Source organism: Homo sapiens, chromosome 6 (genome assembly GCF_000001405.40).
Source record: "Homo sapiens chromosome 6, GRCh38.p14 Primary Assembly".
NCBI classification, from domain to species: Eukaryota; Metazoa; Chordata; class Mammalia; order Primates; family Hominidae; genus Homo; species Homo sapiens.
In genome coordinates this window covers 39,065,936-39,092,167 of record NC_000006.12, presented here as the reverse complement: position 1 = coordinate 39,092,167, position 26,232 = coordinate 39,065,936, and the positions used below count along the sequence as shown (strand labels likewise).

Genomic DNA, 26,232 nt, shown 5'->3' with positions numbered 1-26,232 from the left:
TAGAAATGTGGTGGTCATTAATTGGTTTGGGTGGATGTTTTCCTGGAAGGTAGGGAGGGGATAAAAACCTCTATTTTGGTCCTGTTAAGTGGAAGGGGAAGGGCACAGAAAGGTAAGAATATCCATAGGGGAGGGAATTAACTCAAAAGCAAGATTGGTGCAGAGAAACAAATGCAGATGTTCCACCTGCTGCTATCAGGAGTTGGCTGTAGGTATAACTTGCTCTCAGGGTAAGAATTATTCTTATGTTTGAAAGGGACAATTACCACAGCTTGTCTAAAAAGCGGATGTTTAAAGATACTTTCAGGTAAGTACACCGACCTTCAAATAGGTGTAGCTGAAATGATGGGGGAATTAGGAGAATCTGCAATTCCTCTGCCCTTCTATAAGAGTGAGTTGCAAATCTGGAGAGTGAGTGATTATTTAAATTGGAGAAAAGTTCATTTTTTCTGAAGATGAATTTCTAAACAGCAGTTCCATTCAAATTCTGTGGCTGCTTTGCAAACAAAGCTTATGCTTTTATGACTTTTTTTTTAATGGATTTAATGGACTGAGTTCATTTAGACAGGAGAGATCGAATGAATGAGCGGAATTAAAATACACATCCATTTGGCCATCAGTTATTGTTTAAGCCACTCGACCACCCAACTTCTCTAATTAAATGACATTGCAGTCCCTGCATAAAGGCTGCGATGGATAAATTAGTACTTGGTGAGTGCTTTGAAGATGAAAATCACGGTGTGAGTAATGAGCAAGGTTTTTTTCCTTGGCTGGAAACGGCATCTTTTGTGTTTTCCCACTGCACTGTGAGTCACCTGGATTGACATTGCAGAAAGCCTCCTTTCGCAAAGGAAGAGCAAGAGAGACAGTAGAGACAGACTTTTATTTGGCTTACAAGGCAAATTAGGAAAGAGTCTGCATCCATTCACATCTGTACAAGGAATTATATGACCTACACATTCGCTACCTATAGAAGCTGGTCCTATTTTGCAGGAATTTATATGTTAAGAAATCACCTGGAAATGATCTTGTTTAAACACTCATGAGGAGCAAACATCCCCCAAGAGCACTGAAGATAGAAATCTATCTTTGTCCCTCCTGAGAGCTTGGCTTACCTCTCTGTTGGTGCATTTAAAGGTTTGCATCAAATCCCTCCAGAACCGATGGGATGCTGGAGTTGGTCTGCTTTGAGGATGGGATGATTATTTTAGTGGAGTAGCTTAGAACTGCAGGTTTGGAGGTAAAGTGTAAACTGTTTGGCAAGATCAAGCACTGGCTGTCTGGGGTGAATTTTGCCCTTCCCTCAATGCCCCCGTTGGCTCCCCTGCAAAGAACTCAACTTTTTATATGTTTCAAATTGTGGTGAGAGCTCTTTTCTCACCACATCTAAACATTCTCATTTAGATATGTTTTTCTTGTCCTGAATTGCTTTGACACAGCAATAATTAGTCATGCTACATTGTCTAGGCTGGCTAATTACTGATAGTTTGGCAGGCCCCGTCAGAAAGGTTGCACCACCCAATGTAAGTTAGGATCCAAGCTGGTGGCTGCCCTGCTCCTCATCACATCCAAATGTAGAATGAGGTGCGTCCTTTTCAGCCCTGACAGCACCTCACTCTCAGCTGCACCCCCAAATTGGTCACAGCTGAAAGAACAGCATTCACAGTATGGCCAGCAGGGTCACCTATTCCTGAGGCAGCTGTCGGGGAGGAGGAGTGCAGGGAGGGAAGTTGGATGCATCGGGGAAAAATGGAGCCACTGCTAGACAAGGTCCTGGAAAATAGGCTAAAATGGCCAAAGAAGAGAGAAAACTCTCTCCTCTGAGAGATTCAGATACATATATATTCCAAGAGACTTGGGGAGTTATTGGAAAACAATTATGCTTATCTGCTTCCTGCCAGTCTGTATTCCTTGACAGAGCGGAAGTACTTATAGATACTGCAGACACACTGTGGCACTAAGTAAAGTGTTTGAAATTATACTGCTTAATAATGCTTCCTGTCTCGGCCCTCTGCAGACCCAGAGAGCTGATCTGGGCCAGCAGGTAACTGTAGGGGCATGGGAATGTGGTTGGCATAAGTTTCTCACTTGGGCGATTTTCTTTCCCAGGGGAACTCATTCCAGCCACAAAAGAGGGAAAAAATGTTAAGAGTTGATCCTAATTTGGTTTCTGCTGAATGTTTAGCACGTCATTCACACAGGTGTCTTTGCAGAGTAAGCCTCTGTATTTTATTTGAGAATTTTTATAGTTTGCCTCGTAGGAGCCAAAAGCAGGGTAAGCACTGTAGATTAGAATCAATTCAACAGAGGGAAAATAAACCTTTGGAATAGATTTTGCCTTCCCTGAGCACGTCGCAGGCATTAGCAAATAATGGGAGCCCTGTCTGCGCATGGAGAGGAAGCATCTACCACTTAGACTCCCAGCCTCGGGTGTGCGGTCCTATGACCTGCACAGCGGGTGTGATGATTCTGGAGTCATCATCTCCTAACTTTATGCTGCTATGCACAGAAGAAACATGCACACACACATGCACACACATACACACACACACGCCCACATGCAATGTTCTTTCCTTGCGGAAGAAAGAAATGGGAGGGACTGAGGAGGGGAGGTCTCCTGACTGTGAGCTGCTGGATAGTACACAGCCAACCCTGATGAGAGTGGCCAAGACCTTCAGAGCATGGAAGGGAGTTGACTCCATTTGCCCTTTGTGGTGCTGTGCCATCTTTGCTAGGCTACAGTTGCCGTTTGCTAGCTGTCTCCAAATTCAGAGGTTCTAAAGAGGTAAAGGGGAGGTTCAAGACCTTTTAGGTTATTTTAGTACACTCTGTGTGACTATCAATACAACTTTTCAAACACATAGAGAGGCATCAGAAAAAAAAATTAAGCCAATCCATTAAAAGAGTGCTGGAATTGCCATCCAAAATGGCTTATGTGCTGTTTCTATGTATATGTGTGCCCTGATGCATTTCATTTCTTAAGTTTAAGACAAGGATGAATGAAGTACCAGTGTAAAAATAGGAAAGCACATCCTTCCCCTCCTCTCACCAGTATAAATTACAAAGGAGATGACACTTTCACCATCTGATGAGTCTACCTTTGCTGCTGTATTTCCTCTTCAGTAGAAATTCCAGATAACACCACTGACTTTTACTCAGAGTATCTTGAACAGCTATTTATAGTTTTCACCTATCCTTCCCAGAGGCCTCACTAGACTGAGAGAAAAGGGCTTGTCTGGGTCCTGGCCCAGCTCAACCACCCTCTAGTGTTGTGACCTTGGGCAAGCCACCTCTACAAGCCTCATTCCTCAATCCTATAGATCGGGCCAGGGGGGATCACCAAGGTCTTTCTCTGCTCAGAGCTCTCCCAGAGCTCCAACGATGTGGTCTACAGCATGAGGCACGCTAAGACCATAAAAAATCATCTCTGCAATCCAGAAGCTCATTTTAAAGGGAAGGAACTTTGCAATATAAGTGTTTTGTTTCAGTTCTGCGATTCAGCTGCTTGAAAGACTGAAATGGCAAAGAAAAATTGACAAAATGCAAGCCACTAACAAGTTTGAGGAAGCTGGCCAGAGTGCTGAAGTCAGCTGCTGTTCACAACAGACATCAGACCTTGTGGCTACAAAGCTCAAACAAAAGCAGCGCCTACACCCTGCTGGTCAGCAATAGTACCCCAGGACAGAGGCAGCCGAGAGTTCTCAGCAAGTTCCAGGCGTATGGCATTAGGCATCAGGCATGTAAACAGCTGCTGGAATTTCAGAGTACATTGCATTCAATAGTTCCCAGACCTGTTGGAGCCATATTTAGCTTAGGAAAGCTTGGAAAGAGTGCAGTGCCATTTGAATGACTATTAATAGCTTCGGGGGGCCGGGGGAGCGGGGGTTGGAGCAAAGAAAAGATTTCTTCAGTTCGGTATCTTGTATGTATTCATGAAGGAAAAACTTCCTCCGTGTTAAAAGACTTGGGTGTAGGGGTCTGATGAGCCTTCTGAAATCAGGAATCACCAGTTCTCGTTGGGAAGACAACTCTACTTACAGTTTAAACTAAATGATTTGAGCTTCCCAGGTGCCTAACTAAGCAACTTCTTCCCTACAATCCCTCTCCTCAGCAATTTATTTCACACAGATTATATCAATCTGTTTCTTTGTTGCTATGTAATGTAATAATGATTCTCAAAATCCTCAGTTTATCCAAAACTTAAACACTTGCACCAGCACTGTTTCCCACATCAACCCACTGGTGCCCACGCTTACGAAGAGACAGCAAATAAGGGGTGCCTTTGGGAAGCCTGCCCTTGTTCTGGGGAAGCAGGAACGCCCCCCTGCCCATATTGTCTCAGTCAAGGCAGCCATCCACACAATTCCTTTCTTTAGCCCGAGGTTCAACTTGCCTATTAACATAGACAACACTTCACTGAAGCTGAAGTATAAGAAATTTTCTACTTGATGTGTTTTATATCCTATTATTTTCCTTGCACATCACATGCCTCTCTGAGGGGCACAGGAGAATGTGTCTGGGGAAAGGTTTTGGGGAGGGTTCCCACCATTTAAAAGGGAGAGAGAGACTGACTCATAAAGGAATCCGTCGGAACCCTCTGCTCTCCCCGGAGGTCCTGACTCCCAAGAGCGAGCTCTCTCTTGCTCCAGAAACTTCTTTTGCAGCCACGAACTCCTTGCCAGCCTCTCTAGGATAGCCATGTGTCTGGCTATCTGCAGTGCTGCTGTGTGTCACCATGGCTTGGGGCTTCCTCACCATGGCTGGGGGCAGGATTGATAGGTTTCCCCGTCCAGTCTTTCTGCTGTTCATTATTTGTGGGGGAGGCTGCAGGCAGGGCAAACCTTAATTAGCTCCAAGTGTGAGTGGGTCAAATCAATTACTACTGCACTCTCCCAAACAACATCACTACAACCATGATTTCGCTCATTTCCACTAGATGGGAGAAGTCAGAATTGCCCATTGTGCACACAGACTATTCACAGCAATAAAGAAAAGTGAGTGAAGTATATACAAGCTCCCAAGTGGGGGAATTTCAAAGGCAGGGGGAGCCTGCCTCCATGGTGCTGATGGGGACTATTGGTTTCCCTAAGAGAGTCTCTTCATGGTCCCCTAAAGCTAGAGAGTGTATCCAAATTCTCAAGAGACAGCGTGTGGTCACAGATAAAGTATTTCCAAGGAGAGGTGGAGGCAATGTCTCTCTTGGCCCTCTGGGCTCCTGGAAGTGGCAGGTAATCTACACCCACAGTCTGGACATTCCTAACGTGTCCCTAGATGAACCCCAGAGGATTCTTGAGCGTCTTTAAAATAGACTTGGCAGCTCATACCCCAGGGCTGGGTTCCCCGGTGGCAAGCCTGCCCTGATTCTCTGGGCATGGCAGAGGCAGGCACCAAAACAACTCAAATACCTGGAGGAGAAGCGAGCACCGTCTCAATGCTCATTCTTTCTCAACACCACCTACAGCCATTTCCAGAAACAGCTGCTGGCAGTGGCCCAAACAAAGCCCCTCAAAAAGAAACTGGGCAGTGAGATGAGGGGGCAAGATGAGGGAAATAAGCAACCCAGACACACAAACAGCTTCCCTTTGAGAGAAGACAGGGGAGGGTGGTGACCCCAAGTGATGCAAGCAGAGGAGGCTCCCGTCACTCCCGCTCTGTGTTTGGCTGAGGTTAGAAGAGCCACTTTCAGAACCACCTCCTCTTGCAAGCCCCAGTTTCACTAATAAGCCGTTGACCTTGAGTTTGAGTCTGGGGTTGATTTGCGGCTCTGTCTGGGGGAACCCCAAGGGCCTGTGGTTTCACAAGAAGCAATCCTCCTCATTTTCACAGCGATCGTTTTTCCTCTCCTCTCGCCACTGTGATCAAATTAGGAGGCTGCTTCTCCTAGGAGAAAATGTGTCCATGGTCCCAGGAGGCACTGCCCATTTACCTGTCTGATGGGTTTGGGGAGGGAAAGCAGGATGTATGTGTGTGTGTGTGTGTGTGTGTGTGTGTGTGTGTGTGTCCCTTCCTTCCCTTGTCCCTGGGAGTGTCTCTCCCACCTGGATTGGCCACCCGGCCTGCAGCAAGGACCCCAGGGAGGGCAGGCGCTGGAGTCTCAGCTGCAGGAGGCCTGGCAAGTGGCTGTGTACATGCTGCTGCCCGCCGTGGCTCCACTGCTCAGGCTGCTGGTGGGACACTTGAGGGGCTTCATGCTGCTGTCCCTCTGGATGTGCAAGTGCTCAAGCCGCCAGCGCTCCCAGCTCTTCCGAAATTCCAGCTGGACCTTCCATGGGAAAAGGAGGGAAACGAAAGCCATCATGCAAACCAATGGCTAACAAAATGGCCCCACTATTACATTAGTGGGGAAGGGAAGAAATCCACTGCATTATATTAAGAGACACAAGTCAAGGCCTTCGGGCTCCTAAATTAATATCCCAATAAAATTGTTTATTGTTGTCTCCTATTTTCTGCAGCTCCTCAGGAGAGAGATCAGCTTGATGACCTAATTGGTCTTTTCCATCTCTAAACTCTGTGATTCAGCTAAGTACCTTTTACAATCCATCACAGTATTATTTAACGGAAGAGAATGAGAGGGAGGGTGAAACACAGGGAGACAGGAGATGGGAGAGAGAAGAGAGACTCTGTCTTTACAGCGCACAGTCCAGTTTCAGCTTGGATGCTTGAGAAGGGGGACGGCAACCCCCAGCCTTCCTGGTGTCTACAGCAGACCCTTCTAAACTCCCTGAGGGCTTCTCTCCAGGCCCCAGCACCTCACAGGGGAGGAGGGAGGGAAGGAAGGAATGTGGCTGAGACGGGAAACAGCAGGGAGGAAGGGGCAGCCAGTGAGGGCTTCTCAACTGATGCCATCTAGAGAGACACTGCAGTGACCATGGGGGTGCAGCCCAGGGGAGCTCAGTCAGCCAGGATCCCTGTTGTGCTGGGCTCTGGCCTCCCCATCAGGAAAAGCCTCTCAGGAGGGCTGATGCTTGGGGGCCAGATTGTTGGGGCAGAAAGAGACAAATCCAAGTAACACTGTGGAGCCCCCATCCCTTGAGGGTTTGTGGCAATGCTGTGGCTCCCGGTGGTGGCCAGTGATTCTGGTCCCTGGAGAGGCCTAGCTGGAACCTGCCAAGCTAGTCCTGGGGGGTCTGGACTGCTCTTCTGGGTGATGTTCCCATACATTTGCTTTCCAGAGCTTCTTTGAAGTCCCCACCCTTCCCACACCAGAGTGTCTGGGGTCTGGGCCCTTCCCTTTAGGCCAAGTCACCAAGACAGCCAGATGCCAGCGGCTGTGGATAAGGGGCCAATCTCCCCACCAGCCCCTGTGCAAACAACCCTCCTCTCCTCCTTTGTCGTCCATCCAGCTATGCCCAGCAAGACGCCTGGTATGGCTGCATGCCATCCCTTAAAAGAACATTTTCTGCACTGAGTAGAGTTGAGATGGCCCAGAGGCTGCCTGCCAGGATGACGCCAGTGTCCCATGCAGCGTCATGAACCCAAGCTTGAGTGGGGGAGGGAAGGAGGCTGAGCAGACACCACCTACAGCCACCCTGTTGTATGCCAGCTCCCTGCCCGGCTGAGTCTTTGTGAAGGGAGCGCATGCTGACAGCTGGGATGGGGGCCCTGAGTCCAGTGGTGGCCCCCACTTGTGCAGCTGCCAGGAGGCCAGGCTTGTTTCATAGCCCTTCCGCTGGAGAGGGGGGGAAAGATGGTAAACTGAGGCACACCTCCGGGAAACCAGAGACCAAAGAGAGGTTTCAGGGACACCTATGGGACTTCTCAGGGTGCTGACACACAGTGTCTCCTTCTGCCCCCATCTCCTTCAGCACTTTTCCTGAACCTCTGCTGTGACCCCTGTAATCACGATTGTCCTTGAAAATCACCATATTTATTGGGCACTTACTGTATGCACAGAATTTTCCATTAATTATCTTAGCTGACTTTCACATCAACCCTGCAAAGTAGCTCCACATTTAAAGATGAGGAAACTGAGGTGCAGAGTGTTTATTTCCTCAGGTCGCTCAGCCAGGATTTGAACCTAGATCTGGCCTGATTCCAATGCCCGGCTCCTAACCCCTGGCCTCCTGCCTGCGTGGCTCTTGCAGTCCTGCTTGTCCCTGGTCCATCTCCTACCTCTCACCTGGGAGCACCTCGAGGGCTGGGACCACATCTTCTTCATCTCAGCATCCCTGAACCTAGCACAGTGCCCAGCATACAGCAGGTGCTCAGTACATGTGTTTTAAATGAACCAAATGAATGAACACATAAATGCATGAGCATCTCACATCAGGTTCCTTCTGTTCCTCAGCTATGAAAATGAACCCACAAAGACAACACCACAGATTCTGAGCACCTGGGCTGGGACTTAGGCCACCACACTTCCTCCTCCACCATCGGATTTTTATCCTCATCCCTGCCCTCGACCTCTGCAGTGCAGCACACCCCTCCTGACCTCCCTCTCCAGCAGGCACCATGCCAGCCTCAGGATTCGGGGTGAATTGGGAAGCTCATTCACCTTCATTTACGGCTGGGGAGACAGAGGCAAGGGAGGCAAAATGACTTGCCCCAGGTCACACAGCTCGGCAGTGGCAGGGCTGGGACAAGCACTCAGGGCTCTGAGTCACCTCACTGTGGCTCTCAGGCACAAGCTACAGCAAAACCACCTTCAGGCCTCCCCCTCCCTGTCCCCACTCACGCCCACCAGCAGCTGGTGCAGGCCTTGGCAGCCACACAGAACCAATATTCAAGCCATCTTTTCTCCTCAGGTCACAAGTACCTGGCATTGCCATGGCAACCCTGGGTCTGCAGAACAGCTCTTGTGGACAGAGGCCTTAGCCCCAGAGCCACATGTGTCTTTTGTGGCCCAGTGACAATGATGTATCTGTCCTTGTGCCTGGAGCAGCCAGGGCATGAGGAGTCTCAGGGTGGGTTTAAAGGAACTGGCTGGTGCTCTGAAGGGAGACAGGTTCTCCCGTTCTCTGAGCAGGGTCTCCTGGACCCCGTGGCACTAGCCTGGAAGATCCACGGGGAGATGCTAGCTGGGGTCTGTAGCCAGGCCTGGTCAGAGAGGTGCAACCCTGGTGATTCAGGATCAAGTTTTTTTCCAAGGGCAAAGAAGTACTATCCCCTTACAAAGGTGGGCCAGCCATAGGTGGTGCATGAGGAGGGAGGTGATGAGATGACTAGGCTTGGAAGGATGGAATCTGGAGAGGCAGCTGAGCCAGGGGTCAGGGGAGACTGTTCACAATGGCGGGGGGGAAGCCAAGCACACGTGTCTGCTAGTAGGGCTGCAGTGACAGTGTCAGAGGATAGAGAAGTGAGAAACGGGGACGTGGGGGGGTCAAGATGACAAGGTGGCAGCAGGGAGCCTCAGTCTCTCCCTACAGGCCTCTGCTCCTCATCCCCACACAGGATACATGCCACCCTGTCTTGCCCCCATCACCACTGGGCTGGAATGGAAAGCAGCAGAGCTCAGGGCTGGGTAGCGCATCACCCAGCTGGCTGAGAGCATTCCTGGAGGGGAGGCCACCCACAGAGCTTAGGTTTTTGCACTTCCTCGTTTGCATCAGTTTTAAAGAAACTCATTTTGAGGATATGGCAGTGGAGGAGGACCAGGACTGCCTCCTGTGGGTCACGAGCCTGTTCCCTGCCCTACCCTCCAAACGGAGCCGCTGGGTCCTCTAAGACCTGTCCCAGGAGCAGCCAGAATCCCATTTATGGGCCACTCTTTGCCTGGCGCTGCCTTCACCTCCCCAGCACCTGCTTCCCTGAGGCATTAAGTGGGATCTTGCCCCCGCCACAGCCCACTAGCTCTACCATCTTCTGTCTATTGAATTAGGCTACTCATTTCATTTTGCTGAGGCTTAACGTTCTTAGCTGTGAATTGGGGATACCATCTGCTGCACAGCATTGGATGTAATGAGACACTCTGAGCACCTTATATGCAGTAAACCCTTAAGAGACCTTGGTTTCCCTCCCATTTAGAGATCTGAGGGCCACACTTCCCACAGGTAGCCAGTTCAGCAGAAGCAGGGGGAGGCCTCAGGGACAAGGGAACATTCCCCTCCCTTCCCTTTCACCCAGCCTCATTTTCTCTGCACGGCATCCTCTGAAATTCCTTAGGCCCCTGTCTCTGGGAATCACTGAATACTGATCTAATAGTGATTGCTTACTGAGCATCTGGAGATAATGGTGTGTGTTTCTCCATGCCAAGCAGCACCTGTGAGGAGCTAGGATGGGCCTTCAGCATCCCACCTTGAAGGAAGGACTTGTTCTCTGTTCCCCTTTCGCACCTTTTTCAGACTTTCTTAATCCTCACAGGATTATCCCCACTTTGTAAATGAGCAAACTAAGTTTCAGAGTGGGCAGGTAACTTAGGCAAAGTCACACAGCTCATTAAGTGATGGGGCCCAGATCAGACCAAATAAGATGCCAAAGCCTGCATCCTTGCATCTTTTCTGCTACATCACATTGCTTCTTTGAGCCATCTCATAGCTCCTTGAAACACCCAGGTCCCCACCCACTGTCCTTTCTGCATCCCCCACACCCATAGAAAAAGACAAGCCTATTAATGTGCTGACTCCAACATCCCTGAGCTCTGGGATTCCAAAGCTGAGTACCTTGGTGGAAGGGGCCTTTTCCAGGTGCCCATGAACACAGCCATGCCCTCCTCCCAGGAGCTGACCATCTCAGGGATGGGAGGGAGGCCTGCTGTCCTGCAGACATTTTCAGGAGAGTGTGTGGGGCCAGCGAGAACCCCCTTCTCCCATCCTAGCACCAGAAAGCCACCCCCTTCCCCACAGTGAGCCAGGGCTCTTGCCTGTGTGTATGAAGAATGGGGTACTTTCTGCTTTAATGCAGAATTAATTTGAATCCTGGCTCTGCCATGCCACTATTTCCACACTTCACCTTAGCCAAAAGGCTAAGAAGCGATGTGTGCCACTATTTCCAAACCTAGGGCAGGTTCCTGACTCTTTCTGATCTTCAGTGTTTTCATGTATATATAAAAAATGGGAATATGAAATAAGAATTTTAGCAGGGTTTTTTTTTGAGGGATGTGGGGGTCATAATTAAATGAGATAGTGATTATTAAAGCCCCAAGCATGTGGCTTGGGTATGTGTGTGTTGAATCACTTTGTAAGTGACAGTCACTACCACCAAGCAAAGAGGGTCATTCAGGATCCCCTTAACATGAGTCTGGGTCTTCCTTAGGGTCACATGCCATTAGGGTATACCTGTACATGTACTTGTGTGTGTGTGTTCATGTGTGAGAGAGACCATGCACAGAAAACCAAATCTGTGGACAAGATGGCTTCTCAACCCTAGTGCCTCAGTGAGGTGAGTAGGGGGTTTCAGCTGGCAAGATTGATGGGAGTCCCCATTGTACTACTCCAGACGGGCTGATGGTACCCACCCACCAGGGTCCCCACCGTCCCTCCTCAGAGCTTACCTCATTGTTGACAAAGCAGTATAATATGGCCACCATCAGCCCCTGGAAACAAGAGTCACATCAAGAGGGAGGAAGCAGGAGGGAGGTGCCCTGCAGACTGGCCCTGGTCGGAAGCACTTTGGGACTCCATCCTCAACAACCCCCTCCCCAAATCCAGCGGCCCAGGCAGATCCAGGAATGGGGCAGTGGCTTCCCTCTCATTTCCTTTCTGAAGGAACACCAGGGTTGCACCTCTGCGACTAGGCCTGGCTACAGGCCCCAGCTAGCCTCTCCCCATGGGTCTCCCAGGCATGTGCCATGGGGTCCAGGAGACCCTGCTCAGAAGCTGCCCAGAAGCTGTAGAGATCCTACATCCAACCTCTCCTTGAGGAGGCCTGATCCAGTGAAGTACAATGACTCTGATCATGGAGAATATTCCCCACTCCAGCCCCATCTGTTCATGAAGGAGACCCAGGGCTCCAGAATTGTGTTCTGTATGTCTGCACATGTATGTAAATACACACACATGAGCCCACATGTGTGCAGGCATCTCATGACACTCTTGAGGGGCAGGCAGGGACCAGTTTTTTTGTATTTTTACACCCCCTTAGCATCATCTAATGCTAGTGGAGAGGATCAGTTCTTTTCTTTGAAACTGTGACACCGTAACTCTGGTTTTAACACCTCTGAGTCTCCTCTGTAAAGTGAGGCTAACCCTGCACATCTCCTGGGTTCTGTGAGGAGTAAATGCACAATGCATGTAAAGCACCTGGCAGGGTGCTCGCCACCAAGTAGATGGCAGCTGCAATGCCAGGCTGGTACCCAGAGCTACATCCAGGAAGGCTTCTTGTCCCATGTGCTTACAGAGAAGACTGGCCCAGGTATTGGGACACCTGGGGATACTAGTTCTGGCTCTGCTCCAACTAGGTGACTTTGGGCAGGGATCACCCCTCCAGGTCCCAGTCTTCCCACCTTTTCCATCTGCATGATGCAGGCTGGTGTCTGTCCCACCCCCACTCTAGGACTTTACAAGCAAGTGTCCCCAAGCATGAAGTCACCTGGAAGGAGGTGAAGGAGAGCTCTGTAAACAGCTTGATGAAGCGCAGGGTCCCCCGGGCGTGCTCGTCCATCACAAAGGCAAAGATGACCTCATGAGTCCCCAGCAGGGGGATGAGTGTCAGCGTGGACTTGGCAAGTCTGAGGGGCAGGGCAGAGATCTCGAGTCATTCTGGACCTCTCCCATGGACTCTTCTTCCCTTTCTCTACCCTCCCCACTTCCTACCAAGTCCTGATATCTGGGTCATGGATGTTCTCCCACCCCAAATACCCTGGGACAGGCTGCCTGGAGGGAAAGAATAGAGGTCAAGACCCCAACAAGTCCAGGGGCTGCCCAGAGACAGGGCAAAAGCAAGGGTTTGGGGTCCAAGGCCAGGCCTGGGTGGAAGGAGAGGGTAGTGTAGGGCTCTAAGCTAAGCATCCCAGGATCTCTCTCTCTCTCTCTGCTAGAAGGAAAGGGGCACTTGCTGAGGGTCCTCAGTAAAGCCAGCTCAGTTACATCACCTGCATTTGATGTCTGTCTTGCACATGAGATTGGCCTTCAGTTTGGATACCACGATGCAGATGACCCGAACAAAGATGAGGAAGTTCACCTGCGGGGTGGGGCCGGGGATTGGCAGGGGGCACCAGCCCAGCCCTATCATAGCTGCCACTCCCATCCCTGACACCATCACTCACCCCAATGGCAAAGAGAATGGGCAGCCGGATAATGAGCCAGTAGTTCATGTTGGAGTTCCTGGTCCAGCAGCTGGGGAGGGAGAGAGATGCACACATGCATCCAGCAGGACTCACAGGACCCCCAGCTCAGGTGCAGGCACAGAGGCCGCCAATGCACATGGCCATGTTGAGTGCCACACACACAGCTCCCAGGAGCCACCCAAAAACCAGTCCCATGGACCCACAGAGCCCTGCCAGTGCACAGCCACACAACACACACGCATAGTCCAAATACACAGTCATACACAGAGATGCACACAGCCCCCAAACAAGCTTTCAAGGACCTACCAACACAGTCATGTGTGTACCCAGCATCATATACAAAATGACACAAACATTTCACTTGCAGATATTACAGAAAAACCTGCAGGAGGGCACCATGTACCCCACAGACCCAGTTCCGTTAGTCATCAAACAATCCTGGGACAGGGGCAGGGGCAGGGGCAGGGGCAGGGAGGGGAGATTAGAGAACTAAATTCACCTTCTAAGCTCCTGGTACCCCCCTTTATCCTCTCAACAGATGGGTGCCCCAGGTACCAAGGAATCCCATGGACCTTGAGGATGGGGACCTGGGCACACCCGCCCCCTTGGAGCAGGACACTCACCCCTCGTCCTCATAGAGGTACTTGACAATGCCCCAGGGGACAACAAACAGCAGGGGAACACCTAAGAGAGAGGGAAAGACAGAAGGGGAGAGGGGCTGGCAGGCCAGAGCCACAGTCTACATGCCGAGGCCTCTCCCTGCCCCAAGCCCCTCACACTTCCAGCCCCTCTCCTTGCCTGGCCTCCAACTATGTTTTCTAGTTTTTTTCTGGGCACCTGGGAGAACAGAGGCAGCAGGAGCCCCATGCGGACCCCCAGACTCTTCCTTACAGAGAGGTCCTCATCAGTCATCAGTCCCCCACCTCCTGTGTGCCAGGCACACTGTCAGGACTTGCCCTCAGAGTCCCGGCTAAGTTACCAGGCCACAGACACACAAACAGCAGCGGGACTGGGCCATGCGGTGGGGACAGCATGACGGATGAGGCAAGGAGCAGGCGAACCCTCTGATGCCCATTTTCTCTCTTGCTTCAGCCCACGTTGCCAGTCAACTCCTAAAGGCACTGGATGTCCTTTCAGTCATCTCTTCCCTACCACTGTGCACCTTCAAGAGGGCTCGGCAGAATCCTGGAATGGAGACAGGAGCCCAGTCCTTGATGCCAGCTGACCAACTAACTGTCCGCAGTGGCCTACAATAACAACAGCTACAACAATACTACTTTCCACTCGGCTGAGACTTGACTTGTGTAGTAGACAGCCTCTAAGATGGCCCCTAGGGATCCCCACCTCCTGTGCTCATACCCTTGGGTAGTTAGTCCACGTTGTATCAGCATTGTTTCATGTGACCCAGGAACCTCTGGCAGAAGTGATGGCATGTCACTTCTGATTGTTATAAAAGACACTGTGGCTTGTTTTGCATTCTCTTTCTCTTTCTCTGATCACTTGCTCTGGGGGAAACCAGTTGCCATGTGCTGAGAGAACTCAGAAGGCCTAGATGGAGGTCTCTGCAGCAAGAAATGGAGGCCTCCAGCCTTTGGCCAGCAACTGCGGCTTCCTGCCAACTGCCTCTTGAATGAGCTTGGAAGTAGATTCTCCATCCCCAGTTAAGCCTTGAGATGACAGCAACCCTGGTGACAGCTGGCTGCTTCTCTGAGAGTGCCCTGATCCTAGAAGGAGGTCTCAGAGAGAAGGGACAGCAGGGGGTGGGGGATGCCCAAGAAGGAAGTTTCTATATGTGTATGTGATTCAGGAAATCCACATGCTCTTGCCTAAAGAGTTTTCTCTGTGAGATCCTGAGCCACAAGGTACCCAGCTAAGTTGAACCGAGATTGCAGGCCACAGGAACTGTGAGATAACAATGGTTCGTTGTTTTAAGTAGCTAAGTTTCAGGGTTAATCGTTCTGCAGCAATAGAGAATTAATACAACTGGTTCCCAGTTCCTTGAGGGTAGAGCCTGGGCCTCACTCACCTTCAGAGCCTCAATGCCCAGATCACCCTGAGAGCTCAGGGTCTGTGTTGGTTGATTTAAAATTGGATTTTCCTTCCTCACATGACATATGAGGAGATGGATCAGGGACTCAGAAGGGCACAGGTGGGGCTCGAATTCAGGGCTGCAATCCCATACCCACTCCCACCGCCCTCAATGGCCTTCTGCACTGGCTGTCTCCATGCTCGTCTCCGTTGGCCCCTCCCTCAGTGTTGGAGATGTGTCTGAGATAGGTAAGCATGTGCATATTAAGGTATGTAGACATGTGTGTGTGAGGGTGTGGTGGGTGGACCATGAGTGTGCACGTATGACTTTGGGAATCTCTGCCTGGAGCACATTTCCAGGACAGAACCACTTCATAGCCTTTCCTGTCACCATTGTCTATGTCTTTAGCACATCAGTGTCCACTCAACAGCAGCTACTAAGCAGGTTGTGTGCCCAGATCTACTGTGCCTGATGATGCAGGGAGAGATGGAGGAGGCAAAGGAGCCCCCAGCGGACCAGCATTCTTCATCAGCTCTCTCTCTCCTGGCCCATTGATTTCTACACAAATCGGACCTCTCAGCATCTACGGTGCTTTAGTAACAGGCCTTTATGAGACTGGACAAGGAATGGGATGGTCTCCAAAGGCCCCAGCACATGGTACAGGCCCTGCCACATAGAAGATGCCCAGTGAGAATGGAACGAATGATGGGTGAGTCAACACACCAATAAGGGAAGGAACATTGTCTGGGCAAGAGCATGCCGATTTCCTGAACCACGTACACATGCAGAAGCTTCCTTCTGGGTATCCCTCGCCCCCTGCTGTCCCTTCTCTCTGAGACCTCCTTCCAGGATCAGGGCACTCACCCATGTTATCAGCCAGACCTGGCAAGTTTCACTCATCGTCAGCATTTCCTTAACAAGGCCTTTTCAAAAAACACAGTCACGAAAGCCCTGCTGCATGCAAACATTACGCACTCCCTGCTGGCTTCATCTTTCTCCCATTTAGAAAACGAGCAAGACAGGTTGGAGAAAAAAGCTCAAATTAAGACACACACAACTGGCTCCAGGAAGTAATGATTCCCTCAACCATCATTTGCCTCCCTCTTGCACAGCCTCCATGTGGGTTTCTACAGGCCCCCAACTGCCTGGGGACTGCAGCAGAAGCTGCCATGCCCTTTGGGGGACCTCTCCAACTGTGTCAGAGTCCTAATTTTAATTCTTCCACTTGCACATGAAGCTGAAAGTTGTTTCCCAAGTATCCCAGCTTGGGCAAGGCCTCCTGGCATCACGTCTGAGCTCCTAGCAACCTGTGAATCTCTCTCCGTCTCCCCCACCCCAATCCTCAAGAAAAAGGTGTTCTGATTAGAGCAGGGTGTCCTCCGGGTCTTGCCCTTGTGCTCCCACAGACCCCGAGCCCTGAGCTAGGGTGTGAGGTGGTAGGAAAAGGACTTGGCACTCCCTCCCCCATCTCCCACTCAGAGACCTCTAGGGCAGTGTGTCCCCACCAAACTCCAGCCACCCCCGCTCCTCTGCACACATCACACACGTCCCTTGATTGTTCCTGCCCTCGGGTCGCCATGGTGACAGGCACTAACAGCGCTGATGCTATTTCCTAGAATGGACAGACACCGTCCCCCACCCTGAAGACAGCCTTCCCTGAGCTGCCCTCGATGGCCTCCCTCCTCCTGCTCTAGCAGGAGGAAGAAGCCTCGGGGAGAAAAGGCCAAGGAAGGGACTGGGTTCTGGGAGTGGAGGAGGCAGGTGAGGAGCAGGGATCTGTGAGCAGGAGCCAGGCCTACCTGCCCACCTGTGCAGAGGCCTGAGCCTGCTCAGGGGTGCTGCAGGGGACTGAAGGGATGCAGCCCAGGCAAGAGAACAGGGCATGATGGCCGCAGGCCCAGAGCCTGGGAGTCAGGAGGCCTGGGTTCCAGGGCCTGCTCTGCCTGTAAGGCCCTGCCAGCTCTGGGCCTTGGTGTCCTCAAGACACTGGTCACATTAAAATCTCTCAGGCTACTCTTCTCCTGGGGGGTGGGGGGAGCTGTATAGAGAAAAATGGCTGAGGAACACCAGTAAAAATAAATGAAGTGCAAGGACAGGGGATGGAGAGCTTGAGAGGGCAGAGAGCACAGAACCACGAGGACTGGTGGCCTGAGGCAGCTTCCTGAAGAGGCAGCGGACACCCTGGTGTGGGAAGGATGCTCCCTGAACATTCCTGCATGGAGAACAGCCTTGCAAAGGCTCAGGGACAGGACCATTGTCAGGGAAGAGGAGTCTGGATGTGACTGAGCTGGAAAGTCCCCGGAGGTCCGTGGCAGGGGCAGCCGTGGTCAGAGCAGCGTGAGGTGGGCGCATGAAGGAAGGAGGAGTGAATGAAGGAGTGGCAAGCAGGGCGGGGGATGGTGTGGAACAGGAAAACTCATGGATTCAATGGCAGATTAGGGAGGACAGAGGGCAGGGCCTATTCTCTGGGTACCGTGGGTCCCTCCAGAAAGGCCTGTTGCATGTTTTCCCAGGGGTGAAGGGGATCCCAGCCCCCTTCCCAACCCCAATGCTGCCCCTCATTACAATCCCACGTGGTGAGAGGCAGAAGCACAACCAGAAATGTTCCAGCAAAAAAAAAGACACAATGGTTCTTGGCAAACTTTTTTGGCTAGAACATTTCCAGCTGGGCTCCAGGCACATCCGCCGTCCACCCTTTCCTTGGCTGGCCTCTGGCCCCCCTGCCCCACTGTACTTGGCTCTCCTCTGAGCCCTCCTCTTCATCGTCATGTGACAGAGCACCAGCAGGCTCCCCCCAGCCAGCCCCCTACCCTCTTGATCCCCTCCCCACCTTGAGGCCCAGGACTCACCATTTCCCTCAGGCCCTCGGGCTGCCCGGGACTGGGTGTGAACTTATGTCCCCATGTGGTCTTAAGAGAACAGTGCCATGACCTCCAGTGGTGTGCATGATAGTGGTAGAGGGTGGTGTTTGGCCACATGCGGTGGAGGCTTCCATTAAGGGAGGAGAGTTATGCAGAGGAGGGGAGGACCATAACCCCCTACGGCATCTTAACAGCACCGGGGCAGAAGGTCCTGTGCCCAGGAAGAGGGTTACCCAGTGGGCCTTGCCCCTTGCTCAGCAGTGCGTTCCAAGTACCATGTTAGAAGAGGGGTCAAGGTCTCCCACCCCCGTGCCACAGGTCCAGGGTGGGTGATGGCGGTTCTTACCCCAGCCTATGCTCACGTAGAGCCTGAAGATCCATTGCTCAGATAAGACCGAGAAGGCCAGCAGTGTGTACAGGTACACGCCCTCCACCAAGAGCCAGTAGTAATTGGCCGCCACACAGTACTGCATGAGCAGAAACACCAGGCGGCAGCTCAGAGAGTCCTGGGGGTAGAGGAAGGGTGTCATGGGGACAACAGCTCTGCCCTCTGCCTCTCTTGATACCACTCCCCGTCCTGCTCCAGCCACTATCCTGCCATGGTTAATGCAGGAGGAGAGAGCTCACATCTCTGGCTAGGGCTAGTGCTAAGGACTTTATCTGCTTTAGCTCATTGAATCCTCACTATCCTGATTGGAAGAAAGTAATGTATCCCCCTGCAGGTGAGAAGTAAGTGACTTCTCACCTATTTCTCAGCCTCAGAGAAGTAAGTGACTTGCCTAAAAGTGTACAGATAGTAAGTGACAGAGCTGACATTCAAACTCAAGTGTGTCTCCAAAGACTACTCTTTTGTGTCAGACTGAGAATTCCCTAGGGCAGTGTCTCCTCCCTTAGATTGGGAGCTCCCTAAGGTAGACTGCCTCTCTCAGCAGACTGGAGGGTCCCAAGGCGAACTGCCTCTCCCATCAGACTGGGGGCTCCCGAAGGGCCAGGACTGTTCGGCTCTTGTCTTCTCCTGTCCCAGGCCTGTCTAGGGTGGCAGAGGCAGGCCTCCTCCAACCGCCCATCCCTCCTGAGGCGGTCCTGGATGCACCACACACCTGGTAGGAGAGGAGCCCATCCCACTGGTGCTGCTGGGCGGCTGTGCTATACATCCACTTCAGGGCTGCGTCCTTGATGAAGACGGACAATGCTCGCAGGATGAAGGATGCAAACAGGTTCAGGTGGATGTAGTTCCTGGTGCAGTGCAGGTGTCTGAGGGAGAAAGCAGGGCCTTTCCCTGGCAAGGCAGCCAACAGTTCTGCTCTACAACCCCAGGCTCTCAAGCTAACACACACATTAGGCATGTTTCCAGCCCTGGGACTGTGCGTGTGTCTTCTTCTATGAATACCCTTCTTCCTCATCATCGTGAAAATCCTTCTGTCCAACTCAAATCCTGCCTCTCCATGAAGGCTTCCGCTATGTAGTCACTGCCCCCTCCTCCCATCCACATTCTATCCTTCTCTCTGCAGCATCTTCTTTGACACAAAGTCTTGCATAACCAAAGAGATTTATGCATGAGGATCAGTTTCCCCAGTGGGAACACTGCTTCTTGTTGACAGGGCCCACATCCTAAATGCCTCACAGAGGCAGAGCAGGACTAGGCACTTGGTAGGAATTCAGAAACTATTGGATAGAGTTTTAATATCCTTTCATGTGAAAATGTGTAGCAAATTGAAAGTACAGGGGCATTTCTTAACCTAATGAAGGCTATTTACCTAACCAGGGGCAAATATCAATCTTAACTGAGAAACTGTGGGAGCATTTCCTTTGAAATCAGGAACAAAATAAGGATGTCTGTTATCACTGCTTCTAGTCAACATTGTAACTACAGATCCTGCCCACTATAATAAGGCAAGGGAAAAATGTACAAGAATCAGAAGTAAACAAAATAGTTATTATTTGTAGATGGTAGATTATCTTCATAGAAAATTCAAGAAATCTATGGACAAATTATTAGAACTAATAAGACAGTTTAGCAAGGTTGCTGATAAGTATGTTTGTATATGCCTGCGTTAAAAAAATTTAAAAGTAAATGTTTAGAAATAATTCTTTTGCAATATTTTTAATTAACTAGCTTGAAATGAGTCTAACAGAAGATAGGTAAGATCTCGATGGAGAATTTTATAAATCTTGCTTAAAATCATTAGCGAAGACTTAAACTAGTGGGAGATAGATACATCACATTCACAGATAGAAAGACTCGCTACCTTAAAGGAGTCAAGTCTCTCCGTATTCATAAAAATTCTACCTTATTTTTAAAGTAGAACTTTAAAAACTTATAAAGAAGAGCCAGGGCTAAGAATATTCCAGACACTCCTAAAGAATCACAGAGGAGGAGATTTTGCTATATGATTTCTAGTAAATCTACAGTAGCTAAGGCACCATGGTATCCGGACAGGGAAAGATAAACAGAAAAAAACTGTAGGTGACTGAAACCAACCCATACATACGTGGAGCCTTGCTGCATGGAATGGCAGTCATTGCAAACCAAGGGGGAAGGAAAGGCTATCAATAAATGGTACTCAGGCAGCTAATTCCACATACAGAAAAAAAAATGAAATCCTTTATTTATATCATACGCAATATGAATTCCAAGCAGATCAAAGAACCACAAGGAAGAGCAAAACTCTGAAACTTACAGAAAATATAGACGGCCATCTTTATGACACTAGGGTAAGGAAAGATTTCTTTTTCTTTCTTTCTTTCTTTTTTTTTTTTTTTTTTTTTTGAGATGGAATCTTGCTCTGTCGCCCAAGCTGGAGTGCAGTGACGTGATCTCGGCTCACTGCAGCCTCCACCTCCTGGGTTCAAGTGATTCTCCCGCCTCAGCCTCCTGAGTAGCTGGGATTACAGGCGGGTGCCACCATGCTCACCTAATTTTTTGTATTTTTAGTAGAGATGGGGTTCCACTGTGTTAGCCAGGATGGTCTCGATCTCCTGACCTTGTGATCCACCCACCTCAGCCTCCCAAAGTGCTGGGATTACTGGCGTGAGCCACCGCACCCAGCCAAGGAAAGATTTCTTAATAAGACTGTCCAGAATTTGTTCTTTGGAAAAAATGAATAATTTTAAAGCAATCAATAAAATTAACTGTTATCAACTGCTTAATCTTTATTGATAAATTTTATTTATCAATACTAAATTGATAAACTTTATTCCATTAAAATGAAGAACTTCTGTGCATAAAAAACCATAAAATGAGTGAAAAAATAAGCCACAGACTAAAGAGAGGGTAAATCCTGGATAAGTATCCAGAATATATAATGAATATGTAAAATAGAAAAGAAAAACCCAAATAAGCCAATGAAAAAGTAAGCAAAGGATATGAAAAAGCAACTCACAGAAAAAATCATGAAAAAAAATGCTTGATCTCTTTGGGAATCTGGAATATGCAAATTAAAATCATAAGGCAATTTCACATACTTCAGGTTAGCAACAATTAAGTCTGAAGACACTAAATATTGGTGAGAAGGCTAGACAAAGGAAGCTCTCTTTTATTACTGATGAGAGGGTAAACTGGTGTGACCACTGTGAAGAACAACTTAACATAGTAAAATTGCGAAAGCAGGTGGTAGTCAGACCTGGCAATTCTACTCCTAGTTATATGCCCCAGAGAAATGCACAAGTAAGAATGTACATTGCACCCAACATTTGTAATTCAGAAAGAAAAAAAGAGAACAACTCAAATGTCCATTAAAAGGTTGACAGATAAACTGTGCTGTATTATACAACGGAATATGGAATGGTGGTTAAAAATCCACAAAACAGGACTGCTCGTGTCAATGTGAATGAATCTCACACAAACATAATGTTGGACCAAAAAATTACAGAAAAATATTTCTATGATTTGAATGTTGTGTTCCTCCAAAATTCATGATAAAACTTAATCCTTAATGCAATGATAGTATTAAGAGGTGAAGCCTCCAGAAGATGATTAGATCATGAGGGCTCTGCTCTCAAGAATGGGATTAGCGTCCTTATAAAAGAGGCCTAAGTGAGTTTGTGAGCCCTTTTTGCCCTTTTGCCTTCTGTGATGTGAGGGCATAGTGTTCACTCCTTCCCCATCATGTGAGGACACAGTGAGAAGACACCATCTCAGAAGCAGAGAGCAAGCCCTTACTAGACATCAAACCCACTGGTGCCTTGATCTTGGGCTTCCCACCCTCTAAATTATGAGAAATAAATTTCTATTTTTCAAAAATTACCCAGTCTAAGGTATTTTGTTATAACAGCAGGCACAGACTAAGATAGAAATTGGTACCGAGAGTGGGGAGTCATGTAACAAATACCTAAAAATGTAGCAGTAGCTTGGGAACTGGGTGGTGGGATAGAAAAAAGTCTATATTTCCACAAATGGGCCATACAAGGTGATTCTGGTGAGAGCTCAGAAGAAGATGAGAGCTATGTAGAAAATTTCAGTCTTTTTTTTTTTTTTTGAGACAGAGTCTCACTCTGTCGCCCAGGCTGGAGTGCAGTGGCACGATCTCTGCTCACTGCTCTGCTCACTCCGCCTCCCAGGTTCACGCCATTCTCCTGCCTCAGCCTCCCGAGTAGCTGGGACTACAGGCGCCCGCCACCGCACCCAGCTAATTTTTTGTATTTTTAGTAGAGACGGGGTTTCACCATGCTAGCCAGGATGGTCTCGATCTCCTGACCGCATGATCCACCTGCCTCGGCCTCCCAAAGTGCTGGGATTACAGGCGTGAGCCACTGCGCCCGGCCAAAAATTTCAATCTTCACAGAGATTATCTAAGTGGTTGTGAACATAATAATGGTAGAAATATGAACAGTAAAGGCCATTCTGATGAGGTCTGAGATAGAAATGAGGAGCATGGCATTGGAGACCAGAGGAAATGCCATCTTTTTGTTACAAAGTGGCAAATAACTTGGCTGAATTGTGTCTATGTCCAAGTGTTTCATGGGAGCAAAGACTTATGAGCAATGAAATAGAATATTTGGTGGAAGAAATCTCTAAGCAAAGTATTGAGGGTACAGCATGGCTGCCCTTGACTGCTTATAGCAAAATATGAGAAGAGAGAAATGAAAGATGAAATTTATAATCAAAAGAGAAGGAGAACTTAAAGATTTGGAAAATTTTCAGTCTGACCATATTGTAAAGAATGCAAAAGCATGTTCAGGAGACAATACCAAGGGTGTGGCCAAGTGAACATTTAATAAAATTAGTATGGGTAGAAAATGGAAGAATGACCCTGAATGCACTTCAGAGATCTTTCAGGTCCAGATGTCAGGGTCTTGAGAGCAGAACAGTTCTGGGGGAGGAGCCCAGGACACTGTGAGGCATTGGAAGTCACTGCCCAGGGCCACCTCCTGTCTCTGCTCCCTACACTTGGGTGCAGTGCTCCTTGGCTACCCTAGCTGCGGCTCAAGTGGGCCCAGGTATAACTCAGGCCGTCCCTCTGGAGGACGTAGCAGTAAACCTCGGCAGTGTTCACGTGGTGCTAACTCTACAGACACACAGAGTGCACGAGCTGTAGGGAACATAGTTACTTCTTTGAAATCCAGGAAGACCTAGATTTCAAAGGATATCCTGGAGAGCCTCAGGGCCCAGGCAGAGTGGAGGTTTCTAATAAATCTATAGTAGTTAAGGCACAGGTGTGGGGCCGCTACAGAGAGTCCTGACTAGGGCAATGACTAGCAGAGTCATGGGGGGCAAGATTCTCCTCCAAGACCCCAGACTGGTAGAGCCACCAGCACACAACTCCAGCCTGTGAGAGCTGCCACATGAGCTGAACCCAGCAAAGCTGTGCGAGTGGGGCTTCGGGGAGACTTGGGGACCCAACTCCCACCTCCATATCAGGAAGGCAGGACACTGAGTCAAAGAAGATTATTCTCAAGCTTTAAGATTTAATGTTGTTTGTCCCATTAAGTCTGGATTTACTTGGGACCAGTTACCCCTTTCTTCCTTCCTATTTCTCTCTTTTTTTATTTGAATTTTAATTCTTTATTTTTTTCCAGATAAAAAAATAAACAATTGTATTTATTTAATGGTCTCTTACATCGGTCAGGCTGGTCTCCAATCTCTGGCCTCAAGCAGGCTTCCCACTTTCGCCTCTCAATTAGCTAGGATTATAGGCATGAGCCACCACATGCAGACCTATTGCTCCCTTTTGAAATGGGAATGTCTGTCCTATGAAATGAGAATGCCTGCCACAACATTTCATTTTGGAAGCACATAACTTCAGTGATTTCATAAGTTCACAGCTAGAGAGAAATTTCCTTCAGGAGGAATCATCCCTTGAGTCTCACACATACCTGATTTAAATAATATTTAGATGAGACTTTGGACTTAGACTTTAAAGTTAATGCTGGGATGAATTAAGACTTTGGAGCCATTGGGATTAAATGAATGTATTTTGTATGTGAGGAGGACAGGAATTTGGGGGGGCCAGGGGCAGAATGCTATGGTTTGAATGTTGTGTCACTCCAAAATTCATGTTGAAACTTAGTCCCCAAGGCAATAGTATGAAAAGGTGAAGCCTTTAGGTGATAAGGTTGATGAAGGCTCTGCCCTCACGAATGGGATTAGTACCTTATAAGAGACCTGAGGGTGTTTGTGAGAGCTTTTCACCCATTTGCCCCTCTGCCATGTGAGGACACAGTGAGAAGGTGCCATCTTGGAAAGAGAGGACAAGAACTTACTAGACATGGAATCTGCTGGTGCCTTGATCTTGGACTTCACAGCCTTCAGAATTGTGAGGAATATATTTCTGTTATTTAGAAATTACCCAGTCTAAGGTATTTTGCTATAGCAGCAGGAAAAGACTAAGACAAATATGTTCAATACACTATTAAAAATACACAGAACCTTGCTATATATTTCTATAGCTACTCACAAATGTGGTAAAAGTACAAGGAAATGTGTCGGAATTAAAAGAGGCACATTCAGGGCTTACCTCTGATGGGTGTAGGGCAGGGAGAGGGATGGGATCAGAGAGGGTTACCCAGAGAAGTGTAACTATGGGACATGTTATTTCTTAGGCTGGATGGTGTGTGCATGAGTGATCATAGTATCAGTCATTGCATTTTTGAATCACTGGAATAATTCATAATAAAAGAGGAGAATATTCATTGAGTGAATGCATTTATTGAGCACCGTGTGCCCAGGACTGTGCCAGGTGCTTTGAAGGTAGGAGAGGGAATGCCACCTCTCCTGCTCTTGCTGCCTGGTGTCCTGAGGTCTCATTCTCTCAGAATCCCTTCCCTCTTTGAACCCAGTCCCCCTGGCCCCCCTTCTCCAAGTGCAGAGGAGTGGGAAGAACCTGGTACTCTGTTCCCAGCTCCTAGTTTGGAAGGAACGTCTCATCTAGGTTAGATCTAAGGAGGAACTTTTCCACTGGGGCTGAAAAGCTCCAAAGGGAGGAAGATCTCTAATCCCCAAGATCTTTTCTAAAATCATACTGAATTCTTGATTATTAAAGTTACACATGTTCATTGGAGAAGATCTCCTGGGATTTTCCGTAATCCCATCACCGACGGTTAAGGTTTTGAGGTTGGTGGTGCTTGCGTGGTATTTTTGTTCTTTTTTGCAGTACATACGCACACTTTTACACCGTGGAGACTAGACCAAGAACACAGTATCACATCCTGTGTTTTCAACCTCATATTCTACGGTCAGGGCTCTGTAGAGAGCTCTTGAGAGAAGGACGAATGTGCTGCACTGTTGCTTTGATTTGGTGTTGGGCTGCTTCATTCCTCTATCTGGGGGAGTTAGGATGAAGCAGCCCCCTCCCAGGGTCCGGGCCACCTTACCTGAAGCCGAGGAGGATCGCAGAGGCGATAACCAGAGCAGAGAAGGAGAGTGCGTAGCCCACCGTGTAGATGATGTAGAGGAACAGGAGCTGCTCCTCCGGGGAGCTCTGTGGCACACGGGGGACATACGTGTACATGGGCAGCCCATGGCCCTCTTCCCACAATCTTCCTTCCCATGGCACAGAGACAGAGCTGGGGCCCCAAGTCAGGACTCACCGGGGATACCAAGACCAAGAAAGAGAATAACCGTAACCTACGGCGATGGTTCTTGGATATCTTGGGCCCTGTTCCAAGGCCAGAGAGGTGAATACACACCACCTTTGTCCAGAAAGCATGGTGTGCAAAGCCCCCAGAGGCAAGGAGATGGA

The 26,232-nt window shown here is 49.1% G+C and overlaps 1 protein-coding gene, 1 long non-coding RNA gene and 1 other non-coding gene across 5 annotated transcripts in view, besides 2 other annotated features; 1 reads left to right on the top strand and 2 right to left on the bottom strand.

Annotated features, from left to right (window-relative positions):
• Positions 1-864: 864 nt before the first annotated feature.
• The window catches only part of GLP1R (glucagon like peptide 1 receptor), a 42,523-nt gene continuing 17,155 nt past the window's right edge, over positions 865-26,232 (bottom strand). The window contains exons 5-14 of one of the 3 annotated variants that reach the window (NR_136563.2): positions 25,865-25,971; positions 19,153-19,306; positions 18,399-18,558; positions 13,786-13,846; positions 13,142-13,211; positions 12,968-13,056; positions 12,466-12,604; positions 11,429-11,470; positions 6,039-6,262; positions 865-5,880 (exon numbers count right to left, since the gene is read on the bottom strand). Coding sequence is in view for 1 of the 3 variants with exons in the window: in NM_002062.5 (NP_002053.3) it covers positions 6,095-6,262; positions 11,429-11,470; positions 12,466-12,604; positions 12,968-13,056; positions 13,142-13,211; positions 13,786-13,846; positions 18,399-18,558; positions 19,153-19,306; positions 25,865-25,971 (990 nt within the window). In the remaining 2 variants the exon portion in view is untranslated. Of the gene's footprint in view, positions 6,263-11,428; positions 11,471-12,465; positions 12,605-12,967; positions 13,057-13,141; positions 13,212-13,785; positions 13,847-18,398; positions 18,559-19,152; positions 19,307-25,864; positions 25,972-26,232 lie in introns of all 3 variants that reach the window. The other 2 variants (NR_136562.2, NM_002062.5) reach the window with 2 other exon arrangements.
• Positions 3,035-4,341: an enhancer, noted in NCBI's record as "VISTA enhancer hs2612". NCBI's record gives its function as "enhancer in: other[12/13]" and the evidence as "EXISTENCE:transgenic organism evidence [ECO:0001131][PMID:17130149]".
• LOC105375046 (uncharacterized) lies at positions 13,212-14,638 on the top strand. Its single transcript, XR_926773.3, has 3 exons — positions 13,212-13,271; positions 13,701-13,802; positions 14,255-14,638. It is a non-coding gene; the product is annotated as an uncharacterized LOC105375046 (long non-coding RNA).
• Positions 17,584-18,441: an enhancer, noted in NCBI's record as "H3K4me1 hESC enhancer chr6:39041503-39042360 (GRCh37/hg19 assembly coordinates)". NCBI's record gives its function as "activates a minimal SCP1, AML or CMV promoter by ChIP-STARR-seq in primed H9 embryonic stem cells {active_cell/tissue: H9 hESC(primed)}" and the evidence as "EXISTENCE:reporter gene assay evidence [ECO:0000049][PMID:30033119]".
• Positions 17,787-17,854, bottom strand: MIR9983 (microRNA 9983). Its single transcript, NR_162114.1, has one exon. It is a non-coding gene; the product is annotated as a microRNA 9983 (primary transcript).